The sequence below is a fragment of the Homo sapiens genome, chromosome 4, assembly GCF_000001405.40.
Source record: "Homo sapiens chromosome 4, GRCh38.p14 Primary Assembly".
NCBI classification, from domain to species: domain Eukaryota; kingdom Metazoa; phylum Chordata; class Mammalia; order Primates; family Hominidae; genus Homo; species Homo sapiens.
The window spans coordinates 84,827,444-84,848,722 of record NC_000004.12 but is presented as its reverse complement, the minus strand read 5'-3'; the positions used below and the strand labels follow the sequence as shown (position 1 = coordinate 84,848,722).

Below are 21,279 nucleotides of genomic sequence, written 5' to 3'. Positions count from 1 at the left end.
CATCCCCCATTGTTCTCCATTCCTAAAGGACAAGCTCAAGAGTAATCTTGTTAGTAAAGAGACATTTAAACTGCCTATGACTTAGGCCATTGAATACTTGTTAGATATTTATAGGAGTTGTTTGAGAATGCTAGCTGTGTAATCCAGGAGGTCCTCTTAGCAGAGATTAGAAGCTACTAATTGCCTGGGAAAGTTGACCATGGGTTGAGATGGTCAGTGGTGGGTGTCTTAGCTCTGTCCTTCCATGCAGCCCAGGATGAGCACTCAGGGTCATTTTGGAAAATCTTGCTGCTTGCATTATTATCAGTCATCCTTTAAGTAAGTATCAGGTTCTGTGTGGGAAATCATTTTGTCTCAGAATTTAAAAAATTTTCTTTTATAATTTAGGCTCTTACATTGTTATTGAGAAATCGAAAGCTACGTAGATTCTTGATTTTTTTTTCCTCTGTGACCTATTTTTTTTTTTCTAGAAGCTTTTAGGATCCTCTCTTTGTCCCTGCTTTTCTAAAATTTCATAATAACATGCCTTGTGGTAGACCTATTTTTATACATGTGCTGGGTACTCATTGAACTCTTTCAGTCTGGTTATTCATATCCTTTAATTTGGGCAAAGTTTCATGAATTGTTTAATGATATCCTCCTCTGTTTTCTCCTTCTAGTTAGATGACCTCTTAGACTGTTCCTCTCATTTTCTTATCTTTCTTCTCATTTTCTATCTTTGTGTTTTGACTACTTGCTAAGAGAACTCCTCAATTTTATCATCTATCTCTTCTATAGAGTTTTTTTTTTCATTTGTGACATTATATTTTTCTCATTTTAAAAAATGTTTTTCATTTCTAAGTGTTCTTTCTTAACTGGTTTCTATTATTTTGGGGCTGCATTTTCTTCTTACCTTTCTGGGGTTTTTTTTGTTTTTTTTTGTTTTTTTTTTTGGTTTTTTTTTTTTTTTGGGACGGAGTCTTACTCTGGCCCCCATGCTGGAGTGCAGTGGCGCGATCTCAGCTCACTGCAACCTCTGCCTCCTGGGTTCAATCGATTCTCCTGCCTCAGCCTCCTGGGTAGCTGGGACTACAGGCACGTGCCACCATGCCCGGCTAATTTTTTTTTTTTTTTTTTTTTTAGTAGAGACGGGGTTTCACTGTGTTAGCCAGGATGGTCTCTATCTCCTGACCTCATGATCCGCCCGCCTCAGCCTCCCAAAGTGGTGGGATTACAGGCATGAGCCACTGCGCCCGGCGGTTTCTTGTTTTTCTTTCAGATTTTTGTCTCCATAAATAATCTGTTTCTTTCAGGTTTAATAAAAAGGTTTTTTTATCAATTTGTTTTTGTCTTTGTCTCTTATGTTAGAGAATGTCCATACATGTCTCACCCTTGATCATCTGCTCTTACATAAGAATGGAGCATTAAAAAGCTTTTTAATTGTGTGTGAAGCTTGCAGCTGTGGGCTGCAACATAAGATGATCTTGCTAGGCTGTTTTTTTGGTGATCTTTTTCCTAAACTAAGCAGGTGCTCAGAGAATTGTCCAGTCTCTGCTTGGAAGATATATGCCTGACTCAGCACTTTGGAAGCAAAGTAGGGGAAAGGTTTGGAGACCTCAAGCTTTAGTATATAAGCTTTTATTTTACCTTTGTATGTCCACATGGTGCCTTGTGCCCCTCAATGCGTACTCCCTCTCTTACTCTTTTCAGTGAACAAACAAACCTCTGGTCTAGGGCCCACATAGTAGTAGGGACCTTGGGTCTAACTGCTCTTGAACATATTTTCCACCAGTCCTTCTCTGTGTAGTTGCTTATTTACTTCTGCTTCCAAAGGTGCATTGTGCCACCAATTCCTGAGCCTCTCAGGGGTTCTTTGGTAGTTTGGTTGCTTTTCCACTTTTCCTGAATTACTTCAAGATTCTAGGGTTTGCTAATCAGTAACCGTGAATCTCTCTGCTATTTTAATATCCAAAATTTCATTGCTTTCACTTATTCTGTTCTTGTTCTTAAAAGTTTATACCTTTTAAAAATACGTTTACAAGCATTTTAATGGATGTATTCATCCATTTTCACAGTACTGTGAGGAAATACCCACGCTGATGAAATTAGGTATCCCCATTCTTTCTTGAATGACATACTAGATTAGGAAAAAATTCCTAAAACTTATTTATACTTGCCTCTGTTACTATATTTTTAAATACCTAATCTGCATGTTTGTAGAAAGATATTTTGCTACAGTGGAGATTTGTTTTCCTAACTCCCTTTATGATTTTACATCCACAGGGCAATTTTTTAGATGTAATGAAAGATGTCTTAAATCAAGTAGAAGATGTCTCATTGTTAATTACAGTAAGAATTACACAAGTATTTTTTTTAACTTTTAAGTTTAAAATAATCGTAGACTCTTAGGAAATTTCAAAAATAGTAGCTAGGATCATGTGCCCTTCATCCACTTTTCCTCATTGATGACATCTTATTAACTAGGGATTTTTTAAGATACATTTTTTTCATATTGTGTAATTTCACATAATTTTTAGTTTTAAGCTTGTGAAATTCATTAACCTTTGAATCCTATGATATTCAATTTATTTTGTGTGTTACTTCCTCATGAAAGATCTTTCCTAAGTACCGTATCTCAAATAGGTCTTCTATCCTGTGTCCCCACACCCTTTAGTATCTATTCAGTCACATTGTATGTTAACCTTCATAGCTTTGTTATCATCTGAAAGTATTTTATTTACTTATTTAATTTTATTGTCTGTTGTGTTCACCCGTGTATTAATAGCACCTAAATTTTTACTGATTTTGGACATAGGATTTCTCTGCCTTTTTTTTTTTTAAATGCTTTGAGAATTGGAGTAGAGTTAGAAGGGCCACCCTTCCTGATTTTTAGGAGAGAAGAACATAATTCTGGAGTGTCTCCTCAGTTAGCCTTACCCTGGCTATGGGAATCCTTGTTTTTTTTCTTTCATTTTTAGTTTAGAACATTGGAAGATTCTTTTGGTCAGTGTTGTTATCAAAAATACATTCATGGAGACTTTGTGACCTATTGATTTTTCTAGTAAAAAGTTCTAGATTTTTCAGGGCCTAAGTATATCCTAAATCATCCAACTCTTAATATTTCATCTTTATTTTTTATTTATTTTTATTGTGCTTAAAAAAAGCACTTAATATGGGATCTACCCTCTTAACCAATTTTTAAGTGTGCAGTACAGACTGTTAACTATACATACCATGCTGTACAGCAGATCTCTAGAGCTTTTTGTGTCTTACATGACTGAAACTATACCCATTGAACAGCAACTCCTCATTTCCCCCTCTCCTCAGCCCCTGGCCACCAACCACCATTCTGCTTTCTTCTTCTGTAAGTTGGACTACTTTAGATAGCTCATATAACCTTTTATTTTATAGGAGGTTATCATTGAAAAGAATTTTGTCTTAATTTACATTCACACACTTTTTCTACAAAAAAACAGGTGAAGTGAACCTTTTATTATTCCTTTGAAGGTTGGCTGTGTTCGTTGTTCACCAGAACAAGATTATTCTTCCAGTACCCCTCTGAATTTGCTATGGAAGACTTGTTATTTTGGGTGTTACCTAATCAGCACCCACAGACACAGCCTTTTTTTTATCAGATTACTTGAGATATGGGCTGTAGATATCTCAGTAGGAAACAAGCTTATGTGCAGTTCTGTTGTTTACATCTATCTGAAGTTTGTGAAAATGGAAACCTTTTAGGGAATATCAAGTTGCAAAATGGATACATGGATGATTTGTTATACGTTTAGGTCAAGTCACAGTCTCCTTGTCTCCCTTAATTCTTTCTTGGTCCTTTGCCTCCATGTGGCTTTTGCTGGAAGTAAGTAGTGACTCAGTTAATTTGACAAAAACATAATGTTGTGGCCAGATTGTATAGAGGGTGTATCTTAAGATTTTCCCCCATCTCTTCTAGTTAGCTCAGCCAGTTCTAATTCTGCTTAAGTTTAAGGGCACATGGTCAATTTATATCAGCAAAGCAGAAAATTCCTACCTGCATAAAGTAGTATCTTTAGTTTATTATTAATGTTTTTCTACATGCTAGGTGCCACTGTTAAACCTAGTAGTGCAATCCCCAATATGGGCAGCAATCCAGCAATGGAGAGACTGGATGATGTTGACCCCAGTACTCTTGTGGTGGGATTAGTGGAATTTAGTGAATCCCTACTTAGACAACCCAGCCTTTTTTTTTAAACAGAAAAACAGTGTGCCCTGCTGTCCCCCAAGGATTTCAAAGCCACAACACCTTCAGGTAATTTCATTCCCAAGATGTGGTTATATATTGTCAAATGAAAAGAAGCATGGAAGCTGTGAGTTCTAATATTGTTTTTCTGACTAACTTGTGGAATTTTTTTTTGGAGGGGGCAAGGGTGTTTAGGGCTTCGTGTCTTCATTAATTAAATAAGTATAATAATACCATTAATGTGACTCACCATCATTGTGAAGCATAAATTTGAAAATGGAATACGCTTTAAATGGACTTTGCAAAGGAAAACTTGTATTTCACTTATTAACATGTTTTGCATTCTGGTTGTTCTGAATGCTAATTGAATTCGTTTGTTTACTCTCAGTGTAGGCTGAGAAATTGCATTTAAGATTGTCCGCATTCTTTACTTATTTAATGAAATCCTGGGCTTTATTAACTTCATTTCTGGGTTTTTCATTCTAACTATATGTATTGAAATGCAGTGTGAAAGATAAAGCTTGAATCAAATGATTGACAACTCTAAAGATAGGTTAATATTAATATATTCTTTCATTAACTCTTAAAAACTTAAGTTAAATCGTTTATATTTGAATTTGTTAAATATTATTGAAATTAAAAGACCCAGTATGTTTCTGACTAGTAGTGGGCATTTTTTACCCAAAGTTTTAAGAAACCATTTGATTTATGGAGGTTTTATTTAAAATTCCTTGCTAGTATACATAATTTTTTAAGATAGCACTAAATGCTATATACTTTTAAAATGAGCTGCTTACCTCATTTAAAATAAAACGTGAGGCTGGGCACAGTAGCTCACACCCAGGTACAAGTAATCCCAGTAGTTTGGGAAACCAAGACAGGAGGATCACTTGAATTCAGGAGTTTGAGACCAGCCTGGGCAACACAGCGATACTCTGTCTCTACAAAAAAATTTTGTTTTTATTAGCCAGGCATGGTGGTGCATACTGTTAGTCCCAGCTACATGGGGGACTGAGGCGGAGGGATTGCTTGAGTTGAGGAGATTGAGGCTGCAGTAAGCCGTGATCGTGCACTCCAGCCTGGACAATAGAGTGAGACCTTGTCTCAAAAATAATAAAATAAAAAGTGGGAGATGCCTTTGAAATATTCTTAATGACACATATTGAAATTGGTAGGTGAAAATAAAAGTTATTTTTTTACAGTGATACAGTTATGCTATTCTTTACAAAATAGTAAAATATATTTGTTATGTAAAGATAGTTTGTTTTGTCGATGGAGTTTGGAATCTCCCTGTATCATTCAACCTCAGCCCTATCCAGATCTCTTTCACTGACTAGCTATGTGATTGTAGGCAAATTACTTATCTTCTGCATTTCTCAACTTATACTATTGTAAGGAATATATTAGTAGAAAATAACTCACAGGGTTCTTGTAAAGGTTAAATGAGTTAAACCCACAAGTACTTAACACAATGCTTGATATATAGTTAAGACTCAATAAAAAGAATCTGTTTTTAAAATTTTCGTGCTAAAATGTTCCCTCAAATGGAAGTTTACAAAGATGAAACTTTGCCCAGCCCAGAATCATGTGTAAGTCTTGTATTCAGTTATCTAATAAAACACTTTTATTTTATGTTAAGTTGAAGAAAAAATACATCTAAGATAACCTAAATCTTATTTTCTACTTTCTACTTCTTTATGAAGTGTGTTAAGTATACATTAGTTTTTTGTTTTGTTTTGTTTTTGAGACGGAGTCTCGCTCTGTTGCCTAGGCTGGAGTGCAGTGGTGTGATCTCCGCTCACTGCACCCTCCGCCTCTGGGTTCAAGTAATTCTCCTGCCTCAGTCTCCCAAGTAGCTGGGACTACAGGTGCCCACCACCACACTCGGCTAATTTTTTGTATTTTTAGTAGAGATGGGGTTTCACTGTGTTAGTGGCCAAGATGGCCTCGATCTCCTGACCTTGGTGGCGTGAGCCACCAAGTATATGTTAGTTTTTACCCAGTTAGTTCCTAGTGAACAAATTAGACTTACTTCTTTTTTTTTTTTTGAGACAGAGTCTCACTCTGTTGCCCAGGCTGGAGTGCAGTGGCGTGATCTTGGCTCACAGCAACCTCCACCTCCTGGGTACAAGTGATTCTCCTGCCTCAGCCTCCCAAGTAGCTGGGATTACAGGCTCATGACACCACACCTGCCTGATTTTTGTATTTTTAGTAGAGATGGGGTTTCTCCATGTTGGCCAGGCTGGTCTCGAACTCCTGACCTCAGGTGATCTGCCCGCCTTGGCCTCCCAAAGTGCTGGGATTACAGGTGTGAGCCACCATGCCCTGCCAAATTGGACTTCTTTTCTGACAATTTTAACTCCTATCATATGTTACTGTAAAAATTGGCAAGCCATGCTGATGAAATTAGATACAGATTTAGAGACTTCTCCATTTACTCTTCTCTCTAATAAGAAATATAATCAACTAAATTTACTTTTGAAGATTCTTCCAAGTCTGCAGTTCTGTGATTGGCTGTCTTATGTATTTCACGTTTCTCTCTTCCTACTCTGAGCTACTCAAGTTATTCCTCTGTGTATTACTTAGGAAACCTCTTATTTCCCTCTCACCATTCTCCTTAGCCTTCCAGTCTGTCATACACATTACTACTAGATTAATAGTCTTAGTATAATCCTTTCATCATCTCCTTTGCTCAAGAAACTGCATTTGCTCCCTCTTGCCCAGAAAATCAAATACAGCCAGTAGCTTACCCTCCTTCGTAATTAGGCATCTCTATTTTTTAAATCACTACTGTTGGTATTAGACTGCACTTCTAAACAGTGCTCTTCTATAATGTTAAGAAAGTGTTATCACAGTTCTTTGTCTTGATCTGTATGTGTCAGGCTCATTCCTCTAGCCACTCTTGTTTTATTGCTGTGCTCTTATTTTCTCTGCACCCTTAATCACTCCTACTTCCTGGACAAACATGTACTTGTTTTCCAGGTAGTTTTAGCTCAAATTTCACCTCTTTCATGACTTTTTGATTAGCTCCTGTCATAACTTTTCCTGAAATATATAGGTTGGCTTTTACATTTCTGTATTAATGATATAAAGGTTTATGAATACCATTAAAACATTGCTATTTTTAAAGTTTTTCTATATGTAATAGTGCTGATATAATTATGTGCTTAGTAAATTTTCATTTCCTTGGTAGGTTTTAAAGAAGAACCTCTTTATATGTGACTTTTCCCCCACTTAATGGCTTTCCCTTTGGTTTTATAGAGGCTGCAAGTCGGGCCATAGTTCAGTTCCTAGAGATTAATCAGAGTGAAGAAGCCAGTAGAGGCTGGATGCTTCTAACGACAATTAATTTGTTAGCTTCCTCTGGTCAGGTAAGTTCTTAGTTTTCATGTTTGATAACTCAGCGTCTTTATTTTATAGCCTCTCTTGTGATTTTATTATTAAATTCATCATTATATCCAAATGAGATACTATGATAATCATTTGTATTCTTCTAACTTTTTTAAAACATTATTTCATGCTTCTCATAACATCTCTGCAAGGAGTTTGATGTTCGATGCATTTTACTCATAAGGAAACGCATGGCTTAGAGCAGTGTTTTCCATCTCGATATGTTGTAACACACATAGGACATAACCATTTGTGGCTGGGCTCAGAGGCTCACACCTGTAATTGCAGCACTTTGAGAGGTCAAGGTGGGAAGATTGCTTGAGCCCGGAAATTCGAGACCAGTCTGGGCAACATAGAGAGACCCCAATCTCTTTAAAAAAAAAAAAAAAAATTAGCTGAGCGTGGTGGCCTGCACCTGAAGTCCCAGCTGTTCAGAGGCTGAGGCAAGAGGATTGCTTGAGCCTGGGAGGTTGAGGCTGCAGTGAGCCATAATGACACCACTCCAGCCTCGGTGACAGAGTGAGACCCTGTCTCTAAAAAAAAATTATTTTAATGATACCATTTGTAGAGCATTCTGGGCAAACAGATGGACTATTTCTGGCTGGTGGCAAGTAGCTCAGGAGCTCTGGGTCCATCAGGCCCAGGCCAGCACTTTTGTCACTGATGTTAGGGAAACTCTGGCTCAGGAAAAATAAAAAAATCACTCTTTATCTAAGGTTACTCAGCTTATAAAGAACAAATGACATGGAAAATAGTTTTAAATTTTAATGGGAAATAAGGAAACATTGACATTTTTAGGATAATATATATTTTCTTCTCATTTGATTTATTCTGGAGATTGCTTTTTATTTCCTCCAAATCAGCTGTAATTATCTGTCATGAAATATGTTGCATGTGCTCATTAATGAGCTATTTGGATACCTGATTTTTGGCCTTTCATGTTTTGGGGATGAAAGAGGTTAATTCAGCCTTCTAAAATCCAGAGTATAATTACCTACCAAAGTCAGTACCAATCTTGGGAATGTCTGTTGTCTAAGTTACAGTGGACTTTCAAACACTCTCATCATGTAATAATGGACCTACTTAACTGTAACATAATTGTACCATGTGACTGGCCACAGCAGATACAGTGCATACGTCTTGGTAACCATATCCTGAAACCTGTCAGTAACCCAAAGTAATTATCTCTTAGAATTTTGTCCTCGGAATGATCTGTTTTCTTTTTATTTGTTTGCTGTGTTTTTTCTCTCTTTTTTTTTTCTTTCTTTTTTTGAGGTGGACTCTTGCTCTGTCACCCAGCCTGGAGTGGAGTGCAATGGTGCGGCCTCGGCTCACTGCAACCTCCGCCTCCCAGATTCAAGCGATTCTCTTGCCTCAGCCTCCCGAGTAGCTGGGATTACAGGCGCGCGCCACCACACCCAGCTAATTTTTGTATTTTTGGTAGAGACGGGGTTTCACCATGTTGGCCAGGCTGGTCCCGAACTCCTGACCTCAGGTGATCCACCTGCCTTGGCCTCCCAAAGTGCTGGGATTACAGGCGTGAGCCACTGTGCCTGGCCCTCTTTTTTTTTTTTTAACTCAGGGAATTAGTGTAACCAACCTGTCCTGGTGTTCCTGGGATTTTCCAGGTTTTAGGATAGGAAGGCCTGCATCTCAGGATACTGCACAGTCTCAGGCAAATGGAGAGGGTTGGTTATTGTAAGTAATCTTCAAATGGTCCCAGAGTAGACCATTGTTTTCATGTATCTGACTCTACTGGATGAGTAACAAAATCTCAGTTCTGTTTGCTGTTGATGGTAGCTGTAAATGTATGTATGTTACTATACCAAAATTTGGTTTAGAATAGCATATGTTTATTTGCTATTAAAACTTTATATAATTTAGATATTTACTATTGATATTTAATATAAGTAATATTAACTTTTAATACAGTTTTCTACATTTATTCATATTTTCTATAAAAACCTAATCACTTAAAAAATTACAAGTTTAGATGCCAAGTTATACTTTAAATCTATCTACAATAAATGAAAATGAAACATCATACCACTTTGCTTAGTGGCCAGCTAAACCTAGTAATAATCTATCTGGAAATAGATACATTTAAAAAGCAAATTCAGTGTTATGTTTGGAGCTACCTTGTTTGAGTGCCATTTTCTGCTGGTAGCAGTGTTACACAGAGATGACCAAAACATGGTCCTGACTCAATGTGTAGATGTAAGAGATGAAGCAGAAAAAGATAGTACCATAATATTTAATAATGGGGCATATATAGTGCTATTGAAAATAGAAATGTGAGAGTTAAACATTTTGAAAGTGAGGGTAGAAGGAAAGATGAGGAGTTCAGTAAACTTTGAGACATAGCAGATGTTTAAACTGAACATTAAATGTATGGTAACATAAGTGTTAAGAAATAATCGTAGATGAATAGAACAAAAGGTTTAGAGTATTTGAGACAAGAAATGGTATGTTGGGTATGTAGAAAGGGGCCACATCTTGCCAGGGATAGTCTTGAAGCTTTCTCTTCATCACCCTACTATTGCATTAGTTCCGGCCCCATCTCTCATGTGGTTTGGGGGGTTAGTTTCCCAATTACCCTTTCCTTCTGGCTCTGTATATTTAATTTATGATCTGTATTACCACCAGCTAATTTTCTGAAATCTAGCTCTTTTACTTTTTGTTTGTAACACTTCACTGGGTCATCACTGCCAAGAAAATAAAATGTGAGACTATTTTCATAAGTCATTGAGCATACACACTTTGTAGGCCACTTAGCCAGCTGTCTGACCTAAAGCAGGGTATGTAAGTGATGAACCTCAGTTGCTTCATTTGTGAAATAAGGATCATTTTACAAATGAAGTCATGGGGTTGACTTAAGGAATAGGTGAGATGATGTATGTAAAGTGCTTATTAGCCTTATGCCTCTTATATAGTAAACAGTAATTCAAGGTTAGCCATTATTATTGTGGCTCGTCAGGAGTCAGCATTTTTGGAATCTGTGTTTCTTCAAAAATACTGTACCATATGGCCTAACCTCCTATGTATCTTCCAGGTGATCTTTCCCTTTTTATTTTAATTCCTTATCCTTTTTAATGCCATTCCTGGCAGTGTTAGTCAATCCCTTTTATATTAGCCTGTATATACTACCATTGTTAGACTGAAGTCTTAAGAGATTAAGTCATAGTTACTTAGGACTCTAATAATTCCAGTCGACTGTGGTCTTTTGAAGGACAGAGATGCTTCGTCTTTGCATGCCCAGCTCCCAGCACACAGCCTGACATTCCCTGGACACTCAATAAATGTTTTCTGAGAAAGTAAACTAACTAATCAACAGATTATACCAGTCTGTTGATCTCTAGTGCAGTTGAACTTCTTGTTCCAAACTGCACCATGGAAAATTTTGATAAATATTATATCATACTTAACAATGTTGAAATATGTACTGTAAGAAGGTCTAGAGTTTCTCCTCTGGATATCTTTGAAAATAATATAGAGATGTATTTGTGTCAGTGATGGCTTTATCACTCAAGTGTCTTTCCAGCCTCAAAAATCTACAATAAGAATAAAGATAAAAATAATAGTAAAGCAGCAATGAATATACAATTTAGTGCTTAATGTTTCTTTGTATGTATTATCTTACATAACTCTCATGTTAGCCATGAGAAGGGTGTATCATTCTATCTATTTTTATAAGAAAGGCAAGTGAATCTCAGGAGAATTAAGTAGTTTGCTGAAGTTCGTAGTTATTAAGTGTCTTTTTCTAAATTCTAAAGCTTATGCTTCCGAAACATGCTGCTTTTTAATAAATAAATATTAAATTTAATTGATAATTTACTATATAACAAAATCTCACTATTTGATTAAAGCAAAATTGTTCAGATGCATAGTTGTATATTTCTTCACTTGGAGTCATTTTTAAATTCTTACATGCATTTTAAAAAGTTACCTTTATATATAATTTTTGGGTTAACATTTGTGAATTATTTGGCTGTACCAATTATAGTTGTGTCTATCTATTCACTTATTTATTGGCTTGTTTTCCAGAAAACCGTGGACTGCATGACAACAATGTCAGTGCCTTCCACCCTGGTTAAATGTTTATATCTGTTTTTTGACCTTCCACATGTGCCTGAGGCAGTTGGAGGTGCACAGAATGAGCTACCTCTAGCAGAACGTCGAGGACTACTCCAGAAAGTTTTTGTACAGGTATGAAAGGTGCTATTTGCCTACCTCCACCCTATTTAAAGGGAAGTGGGTATACTTCCTAAATAGATGTTTTACATATTCCATTTTTTAACTCATATTTCATTTTATTTATGATAGTATGACTTTATCTCATATAATTGTCACATTTTTTGAATCTGCAGAAATAATATTGAAATATTCTTTTCAGGAATATTTGAGTGAGGCATTAGCAAGTTTGTTTCTCTGAACAGATCCAGCCATTGAGATTACTTTTGATATATCAGAATGTCTGTAAAATGAACTAAGCAAGGAAAACTTGAAAATGATATAAAGATTTGGATAATATTTCTTATAATGTCTCAAAATTCTATCTAGTTGCTGTTTATATACAGGAAGTCCCCAGCTTATAAATATTTCACTTGTAAAGACAGTTTACTTTGGTGGTGGCTGCCTCCTCCTCTGCCCTGCCTGTAAGGCTCTTCTTTCCCACTGTTAGCACTGTTCTTTTAATAGCATTGTGGGTTAACAAATGTGTGATAGACCTTTATTAGCTAGCCCAGGAATATAGTCATCATGTATGATATCCTTTCTTGGCAGAAAATTGTCAAAACAAGCAAACAAACATATAGAATATAATCTGTCCATTGGTCTAATACAGTATTAAAAAAACAACATTTGACACAAAAAGACAAATACTGCGTGATTCCACTTATATGATATATCTAAAGTAGTCATACAGGTGGAACAGAAAGTAGAATACTGGTGGCTAGGAACTAAGGGAAAGAAGAAAAGGGAATTATTTTTCTATAGGAGTAGAGTTTCAGTTTTGCAAGATGAAGTTCTGTTGCACAGCAGTGTACATATAGTTAACACTACTGTACCACACTCTTAAAACAGTTAAGATGGTAAATGTTACATGTTTTTTTAACCCAATCAACAGTTAAAAACAACATGTTTAGATCTAGTTCTCTAAAGCAAAGTCATCTAAGATGCAGATTTCGCACCTGTAAAATGAAAATGATATCTACCTAAAAGGTTTTTTGAGGCTTAAATGACATAATATGTAAAGGTACGATTTTCAGCTTAGCACATAGTAGATAGGAAGGAGAAGTAACTGTGATTACTGCCACTGCCACCATCACCACTACTGAGAGTAGGAAGCGAATAGAGAGAACAGTGGATTGGGGTAGAAAAGATAGAGCTGTATAGAGTAATGGTTGCAGGCTCACCTCATGTCACTGGGCTCTTTACTGTAAGGATGACTCTGTTTGGTAGAGCTGCTAGTGATGAAAGGACAGGAGAGAGTGAGACCAAGACAGTTTTAGAAAGTAAATGAATGGGATTATCAAGTAAAATACTAAATCAGTATGTTTATTGAACACTTGATCTGTTAGACACTTTTGTGCTTGTGGTTAACATTTCTCATCTCACATCTCAATTTGCAAGATAACCCCACGACTTCAGAGCTTTTGTTTTTCCCCAAAATGATTATGTAAGCAAATGGCAGGAATAGGATTAGAACTCAGATCTATCTGATTCCTGAATTAGATTGGCTAAGAAAAGCAATGGGAATAAATGAAGGAGTAAATCGCATAGGAATTATAGCTGCTTGAAGATATTGCCGATGAATGTGGTGGGTTAATCTTTGCTGATTAGAATAGCAGCCTCATTTCAATAAACCCCTTTTAAAGAACTAATGCCTTAGGTAATAAATGGAATCTGCATTTTATACTTTTAATACCTACATAAGCATAGCAAAGTTTTTTAAAAAATTATTTCTATTTGAAAACCAGGTGCTGACTTTCGATCATGTGGGAGTCACTTTAGCATACTGAAGTCATTGAATATTAAGGCCAAAAGGGACTCAAAACATAATTTAAATCAAACTCCTCATTTACAGTTGTGGAAACTAATATTCCGGTTTATGATCCATAGTAGGCAAGTGACAGTGATAAAAACCTAGCTCTCCCAACTCCTAGTTCACTGCTGCTTTTAGTGTATCACTTTCTTTGTTTTAGTTCCTCATCGCAGGCTAATGTTTTCATCATTGTGTCTAGGAAACCAATTGACACGAACTTATTAAATGTTTTAAAATAGATGCAATCCCTACGTTTGTATTATGTGACAGACGGTTTCCTGGGACTTTAGCATTTGGTAATGCTTCATGCAGGCATTCAGTTTTTTTGTTGTTGTTGATGTGGCCAGTTATTGCTCTGCCACACTTGGTTGGACTTTTGTAACAGAGTTCTTACAAATATAAGTGGTTAGTAGAGGCAGAAGAGGAATGAGAAATTTTTTTTGGAGAGAATTTTGGTCTGTCTCCCAGGCCGGAGTGCGGTGGTGCGATCTTGGCTCACTGCAACCTCTGCCTCTTGGGTTCAAGCGATTTTTGTGCCTCAGCCACCCAAGTAGCTGGGATTACAAGCTGTGCCACCATGCCTGGCTAGTTTTTTTTTTTTGTTTTTAGTAGAGATGAGGTTTCACCATGTTGGCCAGGTTGGTCTCGAACTCCTGGGCTCAAGTGATCCTCCCGCCTCAGCCTCCCAAAGTGCTGGGATTACAGGCGTGAGCCACCACACCCAGCCAGGAATGAGAAATTGACTTTACAGTTTTCTGTTCTGTAAAAATGAAAGGATCGTACTAGATTATTTGTAAGAATCCTTCTGCCTATAAAGATGAACCAGTTATCTTATAAGTCAACAAATTCAAGAAATCCTTGCATCCAGTTTGAGAACAGTGATTTGATTTGTAAAAAAGTATTTTATTATTTGTGGGTTTGTTTTCTATGTACCAAATTGGAAAACTGGCATTTGTCTCGCTAATCACATAAGGCAGTGTCAGAACCAACAACAACTATAATCACTAATACACCCCTCTGAGAATACACTTTTTTGTTGCATTTAACTGTCTGTATTCACATATGGTAAAAGATGATGACATATTACACATATTAATGGACATTTGGTATCCAGCAGTTTCTCCAGGCATTTGGTGGGAAGGGTACCATATTTACTGATTTTATAAATATTTTATTGTTTTTATGAATTCTTAAACCTTTTTTTCCTTTCTGATACTTGGCAGCTATGAATTAGAAAGCTTTTATATCTAAGCAAGTTTTTGCATTTGAGGGAAATAGGAAAAGGAAGGCCTAGTTTTCTCAGATAAAATGTGATATTTCAGCTACCTCTCTCTATTGAGCTTCGCTTCTCTTCTGTTCTCTTCTGTTCTCTTCTGTTCTGTTCTCTTCTCTTCTCTTCTCTTTTCTTTTCTTTTCTTTTCTTTTCTTTTTCTCTTTTGAGACAAGGTCTCACTCTGTCATCTAGACTGAAGTGCAGTGGCATGATCACAGCTCACTGCAGCCTCGACCTCCCGGGCTCAGGTGATCCTCTCATTTCAGCCTCCTGAGTAACTTGCCACCATGCCTAGCTAATTTTTTGTAGAGATGGAGTTTTACCATGTTGCCCAGGCTGGTCTCAAACTCCTGGACTCAAGTAATCTGCCTACCTTGGGCCTCCCAAAGTGCTAGGATTACAGGCATGAGCCACCACACCTGGCTGCTATTTTCCACTGATGCTGAAATACCAAAATTTCATGAAGCGCTCTTTTTCAAGAGAATAAAATGATGTCATGAGTTATAGTTATTTCATTCATACTATATATTTTAAAAAATACTTAGATGAGAAAATTTAGCAAAGAGAAGAAAAGTTAACTTTTCCTAACCTGAACTGGTATTAGAAGAAAGAGCCCATTGAGGGCAGAAACCATTGCTGAATTCCCAAGTGGCAGGCTCTTAATGGTGTGTGCTCTTGTGTAGTATGTATTCTGCAAATCACAGTTAAAGAATAAGTTCTCATTCCAGTACTTAAGAAGTCTTGAGTCTTCTTTGAAAGCCAGACTTTAGGTTTTTGGCAACTAGATTTAAAATACTCTGAAATGAAGATTATTTATACTCTAATATCCTCTATTACTTGTATAGAAAATTGAAAAAATTTCAAAATATCTTTGCTTTTAAAGATCTATTTTTACTTCCTTTTTTTTCTAAAACTGTCCTTTTTAGAGAAGAAAATTACATTTCGCCAGTGGCAAACTAAAAATTAAAGAACTAAGTTAGAAAAATAAAATGTTGACTTGGAAAAGCAATGCTATTTTATCTTGTTTCAAGCCACGGTATGCAAAAATATTAGGGTGAAGAGAGGATAGTAAATGTTTTTTAAAAAATCAGGTGATATAAGTAGGACTAGTTTACTGTCATAACATAATCAGCCATTTATTTACTTACATACACTCTTACGGTTTTTAAACTTTCATTATTAATTTTAATTGACAAATAATAATTGCATATATTTATAGGTCACAGTGTAATAATTTTTGTGTATACAATGTGTAATGATCGAATCAAGGGTAACTAGCGTATATATATCCATCACCTCAAACATTTATTATTTCTTTGCATTGGGAACATTTAAAATTCATTCTTCTACCTATTTAAAAATATACAATACATTGTTTTTTTAATAATATTCACTCTATAGTGCTATAGAACACTAGAACTTACTCCCAACTATACTTCAGTATCCCTTAACCAGCCTTTAGCTTGCCCCACTCGCCTTCCCTTATCCACCCTTGGTAACCAAAACTCTACTCTTTACTTTCATGAGATCAACTTTTTAAACTTCTACATATGAATGAAAGCATTCAATATTCATCTTTCTGTGCCTGGATTATTTTCCTTAACATAATGTCCTCCAAGCTTATCCATGTTGCCTTTAATGACAAAATTTCATTCTTTTTTATGGCTGAATAGTATTAGATTGTATATATATTCCATGTTTTCTTTATCCATTCATCTGTTGGATACTTAGGTTGATTCTAAATTTTGGCTATTGGGAATAGTGCTGCAGTAAACATGGCAGTGCAGCTATCTCTTTGACATACGAATTTCATTTCCTTTGGATATATACCCTCAGTAGGGGGATTGCTAGATCATATGGTAGTTGTATTTTTACTTTTCTGAGGATCCTCCATACTGTTTTTCATAATGGCTGTACTAATTTACATTCTCACCAACAGTATATAGGAGTTCCCCTTTCTCTACTTCCTTACCAGCATCTGTTCTTTTTTATCTTTGATAATAGCCATTCTAACTGGCTTGAGGTGATACTTTATTGTGGTTTTAATTTTCATTTCCCTGATGATTAGTGATGTTGAGCATTTTTTCATATACCTGTTGGCCATTTCTATGTCTTCTTTTGAGAGCAGTCCATTCAGCTCATTTGCCCATTTTTAAATCAGATTATTTGATTTTTGCTTATACACTCTTGTTTTGTTTTGTTTTATTTTTTAGATCTTAGTGAAACTGTGCAGTTTTGTTTCCCCTGCGGAGGAGCTGGCTCAGAAAGATGATCTCCAGCTTCTATTCAGTGCAATAACCTCTTGGTGCCCTCCCTATAACCTGCCTTGGAGAAAGAGTGCTGGAGAAGTCCTCATGACCATATCTCGTCATGGTCTTAGTGTCAATGTAGTGAAGTATATTCATGGTGAATATCTCTTTATATATTTAAGTGTTCTAAATTTCTTCCACTTTTCTTCATTTAATAATAGATTTATTTTTATCTTTCAGTATTCTAAAGCTTGTTCTTTAAAATAAAAAATAAATTTGCCCAGAGAAAAGAAAATATTTTTTTTCATCTGTGGGGCATTTCAAATGTAAAACATTCTCCTCATAAGTTCTGAACAATAGATATTTCTTTTTTTTTTTTTTTTTGGATGGAGTCTCACTCTGTCGCCCAGGCTGGAGTGCAGTGGCGCGATCTTGGCTCACTGCAACCTCCATCCTCCCGGGTTCAAGCAGTTCTCTGCCCTAGCCTCCTGAGTAGCTGGGATTACAGGTGCACACCACCATACCTGGCTGATTTTTGTATTTTTAGTAGAGACAGGGTTTCACCATCTTGGCCAGGCTGGTCTTGAACTCCTGACCTTGTGATCCACCCTCCTCAGCCTCCCAAAGTGCTGGGATTACAGGCGTCAGCCACTGCGCCTGGCCAACAATGGATATTTCTAAAAGTTAAAAAAAATTTCATTGTTGTGTAAATTCAATCATAATGTAATGAAAGTTCTGTGTCACAGCCTATTCTTCTCTCTTCTTTTACTGAATAAAAAAGAAGTTTTTTTGATATCCTGTAACCAGTCTTTCTGAAGATATTGCATAAGTTACTAGGTAATAATCTGTCATGCAGCATAGATGGAATTAGGTGGATTCTTTATCAGCAGTAAGAAGACACTGTTGGTTTAAAGTATATGTAATATTCAGCTATCTTTTAAAATGTCTGTATAGGAGACAATTGCCTTAGCATCTCAAGCAATCTACTTATTTGGTATATACACAGATGCTCCTCAATTTATGGTGGGGTTATGTCCCAATAAACCCATCATAATTTGAAAATAGTGTAAGTCGAAAACGCATTTAATACACTTAACCTACCGAACATCATATCTTAGCCTAGCCTACCCTGAAAGTAGCTAGAACACTTATGTTAGCCTATAGTTGGGTAAGATCATCTAACACAAAATCAACTTTATAGTAAAGTATTAAATACCTCATGTAATGTACTGAATACTGTTCTGAAAGTGGAAAACAATGCTTATATGGTTACATAAAGTACAGTTTCTATTGAATACATGTTGCTTTCACACCATCATAAAGTAGAAACATCTTAAGTCAAATCATCAAGTTGAGAACTACCTGATATTACTGTCCTGAAACTCTTTCAAAATAATTAATACACCAATTTGTTCACTTACATTTATTAAGTGACATATGTGAAAGCTAGTACCTAATATATGAGTCAGTTATTAAATACACATTTCCTCCCATTCCTCTGTTAAATCTTAGCTTTTGTTATGTAACAGTGAGTTTCTTTATACAAATACATACCACCAAAGATAAGAAAGTGAAAGTCTTCCTTGAAATGCTACAAATCCTCAGAGTCAGGGATAAGATATAACTGTGTTTTAAACTAATAATATATTATACAAATAAAATTTAAAAAATTGTATTTCCTAAAGTATTTCTGTATCTCATTGGTCTATAGTCTCTCTAATTTATTTATTTATTTATTTATTTATTTATTTATTTATTTTGAGACAGTCTCGCTCTGTCACCCAGGTTGTAGTGCAGTGCAGTGGCGTGATCTTGGCTCACTGCAATCTCTGCCTCCCGGGTTCAAGTGATTCTCCTACCTCAGCCTCCCGAGTAGCTGGGACTACAGGCGCGTGCCACCATACCCAGCTAATTTTTGTATTTTTAGTAGAGACAGGGTTTCACCATGTTAGCCAGGCTATATATTCTCTCTAACTTAAAGTTTTAACTAATTACTAGATTTTTCTTCTTAAACTTAGAAGATAGTTTTTTTGCTTTTTTCATCTTGTTACTATATCAATATAAAAGATCAAAAATATCATTTGGCAGTGGCCATTTGTTTAATGATAAAACATCAAAATATGTGAAAAAATGACAGGTACATACATGTCAACTATTTTTCAACACATTTCTGTATTATCCTTTGTTTACTACCTAGAGGCAGTGCTTTCCCAATGCATATGACTCTTATATTGACTTTTAGAATGTGTTACATTTATCTCATAGTATTTTACAGATATGTTAAAATTTAATGTTTCATTAAACAACAGTTAACAATTAAAAAATTTTTAAGCGATTGTCAGGAATAATGCATATTTATTTAATTATCTATTCTTACAGAGAAAGAGTGTTTATCTACATGTGTTCAGAATATGCAGCAATCAGATGACCTGTCTCCCCTAGAAATTGTCGAAATGTTTGCTGGGCTTTCTTGTTTCCTCAAAGATTCCAGCGATGTTTCCCAAACACTTCTGGATGATTTTCGGATATGGCAAGGATATAATTTTCTTTGTGATCTCTTGCTTAGGTAAGACTGCTCAATTTAAGAATGTATTTTAAATGTCTACTCAGTCTTTTTTATCAAAGAAAACAATGTGATTTGGGGTTATAGGAAAAGCAAATTAAGGAAACACTTATTTAATGTATACCTGGCTTTACTCCCTTCTTTTTCTGGTGCAATCACAGCTTACTGTAGCTTCGTATTCCTGGGCTCAAATGGTCCTCCCACCTCAGCCTCCCAAGTAACTAGGACTACAGGCACGTACCACCACACCCAGCTAATTTTTAAACATTTTCCATAGAGACAGGATCTCGCTGTGTTGCCCAGGCTGGTCTCAAACTCTTGGCCTCAAGCAATCCTTTGGCCTCCCAAAGTTCTGAGATTACAGTCATGAGCCACCACACCTGGCCTATTCCCTTCTTTTTATTCCTGTTCTGCCAACAGAGTGGAAAAGTGAATTTAGAGTTAAATTGCCAAATGCAGGGCACAAACATGATGAAGTCAGAGGTTAGATATGAAGCATAAATCTGCTCTTTAGTAGCTGAGGGAGAAGAATTTAGATAAACTAATTAATATCTTCTTAAAGTATAAACTCTTCTTAATTATATTTTTGGTTCTTTATTTTATAGTACTTCTAGTCTTTTTATTAATGTACTTAATAAGAATAATTATGTAGATGGAATAAAACCTTACAACTGTGTATATGAAACAAATTAATAATTTCAAAATGTGTTACTTAACCCCCTTTTCCATTTCAAATGGTTCGTGCACATACTTAGAAAGTGGCTGGTTACAGATTTTCTTAAGAAGAAGATACTCACCATTTTTCAGCAGCTATTCCTGGGCCATTAATTATTTTTAAATCATTTGATCTATTATAAGACACCACTGTTTTGTAAACTTACTTGTCTCCCTCCCTTCCTTCCTCCCTTCCTCCCTCCCTCCCTCCCTCCCTCTGGGGTCTCATTATGTTCCCAGGCTGGAGTGCAGTGGCATAATCATAGCTCGATATAATTTTTAACTCAAGAGATCCTCCTATCTCAGTTTCCTAAGTAGCTACACCCAGCTATATTTTATTTATTTTTTTTGTAGAGCCTATGTTGCCCAGGCTGGTGCCAAACTCTAGCCTCAAGCAGTCCTCCTGCCTTAGCCTCCCAAAGCACCAGGATTTTAGGTGTGAGCCACCATGCCTGGCCAGAACTTGTTATTTCTAACACCAATTTAACCTAGTTGCTGCTAGTTGATATTAGATAACCCCTAAGAATATCATTTTGCATATATATGCAAGTTTATAAATACATATGAAAGTTGATGAAATAACCACTTCACATTACTAGAGGGGTATTAATTGATTTATCCTTTGAGAACGTAGGTTGGCAAGATATTAAGAGCCTTAAAAATGTTGGTAATCTGATACAATAATTTCATTTATGTTTATTGATCCTAAAGATATAATCCAAATCTTGTAGACAAGATTTTATTTATTAGTGCTTTTTGCATTATGCCAGCTGTTGGAACTCTCACTCCCCAAATGTGTGGTTGGCTCTGCATGGCCCCTGAAAGCTTACCTGTGAAAGCTTACACTAA

At 36.0% G+C, this 21,279-nt stretch overlaps 1 protein-coding gene across 29 annotated transcripts in view; it reads left to right on the top strand.

Moving 5' to 3' along the window:
* The window catches only part of WDFY3 (WD repeat and FYVE domain containing 3), a 297,094-nt gene that overhangs the window by 117,968 nt on the left and 157,847 nt on the right, over window positions 1-21,279 (top strand). For 21 of the 29 annotated variants that reach the window (XM_011531759.3, XM_011531760.4, XM_047449855.1 and 18 more), the window contains 5 exons: window positions 4,214-4,267; window positions 7,460-7,569; window positions 11,633-11,794; window positions 17,118-17,310; window positions 19,533-19,719. In XM_011531759.3, coding sequence (XP_011530061.1) covers window positions 4,214-4,267; window positions 7,460-7,569; window positions 11,633-11,794; window positions 17,118-17,310; window positions 19,533-19,719 — 706 coding nt within the window. The remainder of the gene's footprint in view (window positions 1-4,213; window positions 4,268-7,459; window positions 7,570-11,632; window positions 11,795-17,117; window positions 17,311-19,532; window positions 19,720-21,279) is intronic. The other 8 variants (XM_047449858.1, XM_011531763.4, XM_047449859.1 and 5 more) reach the window with 1 other exon arrangement.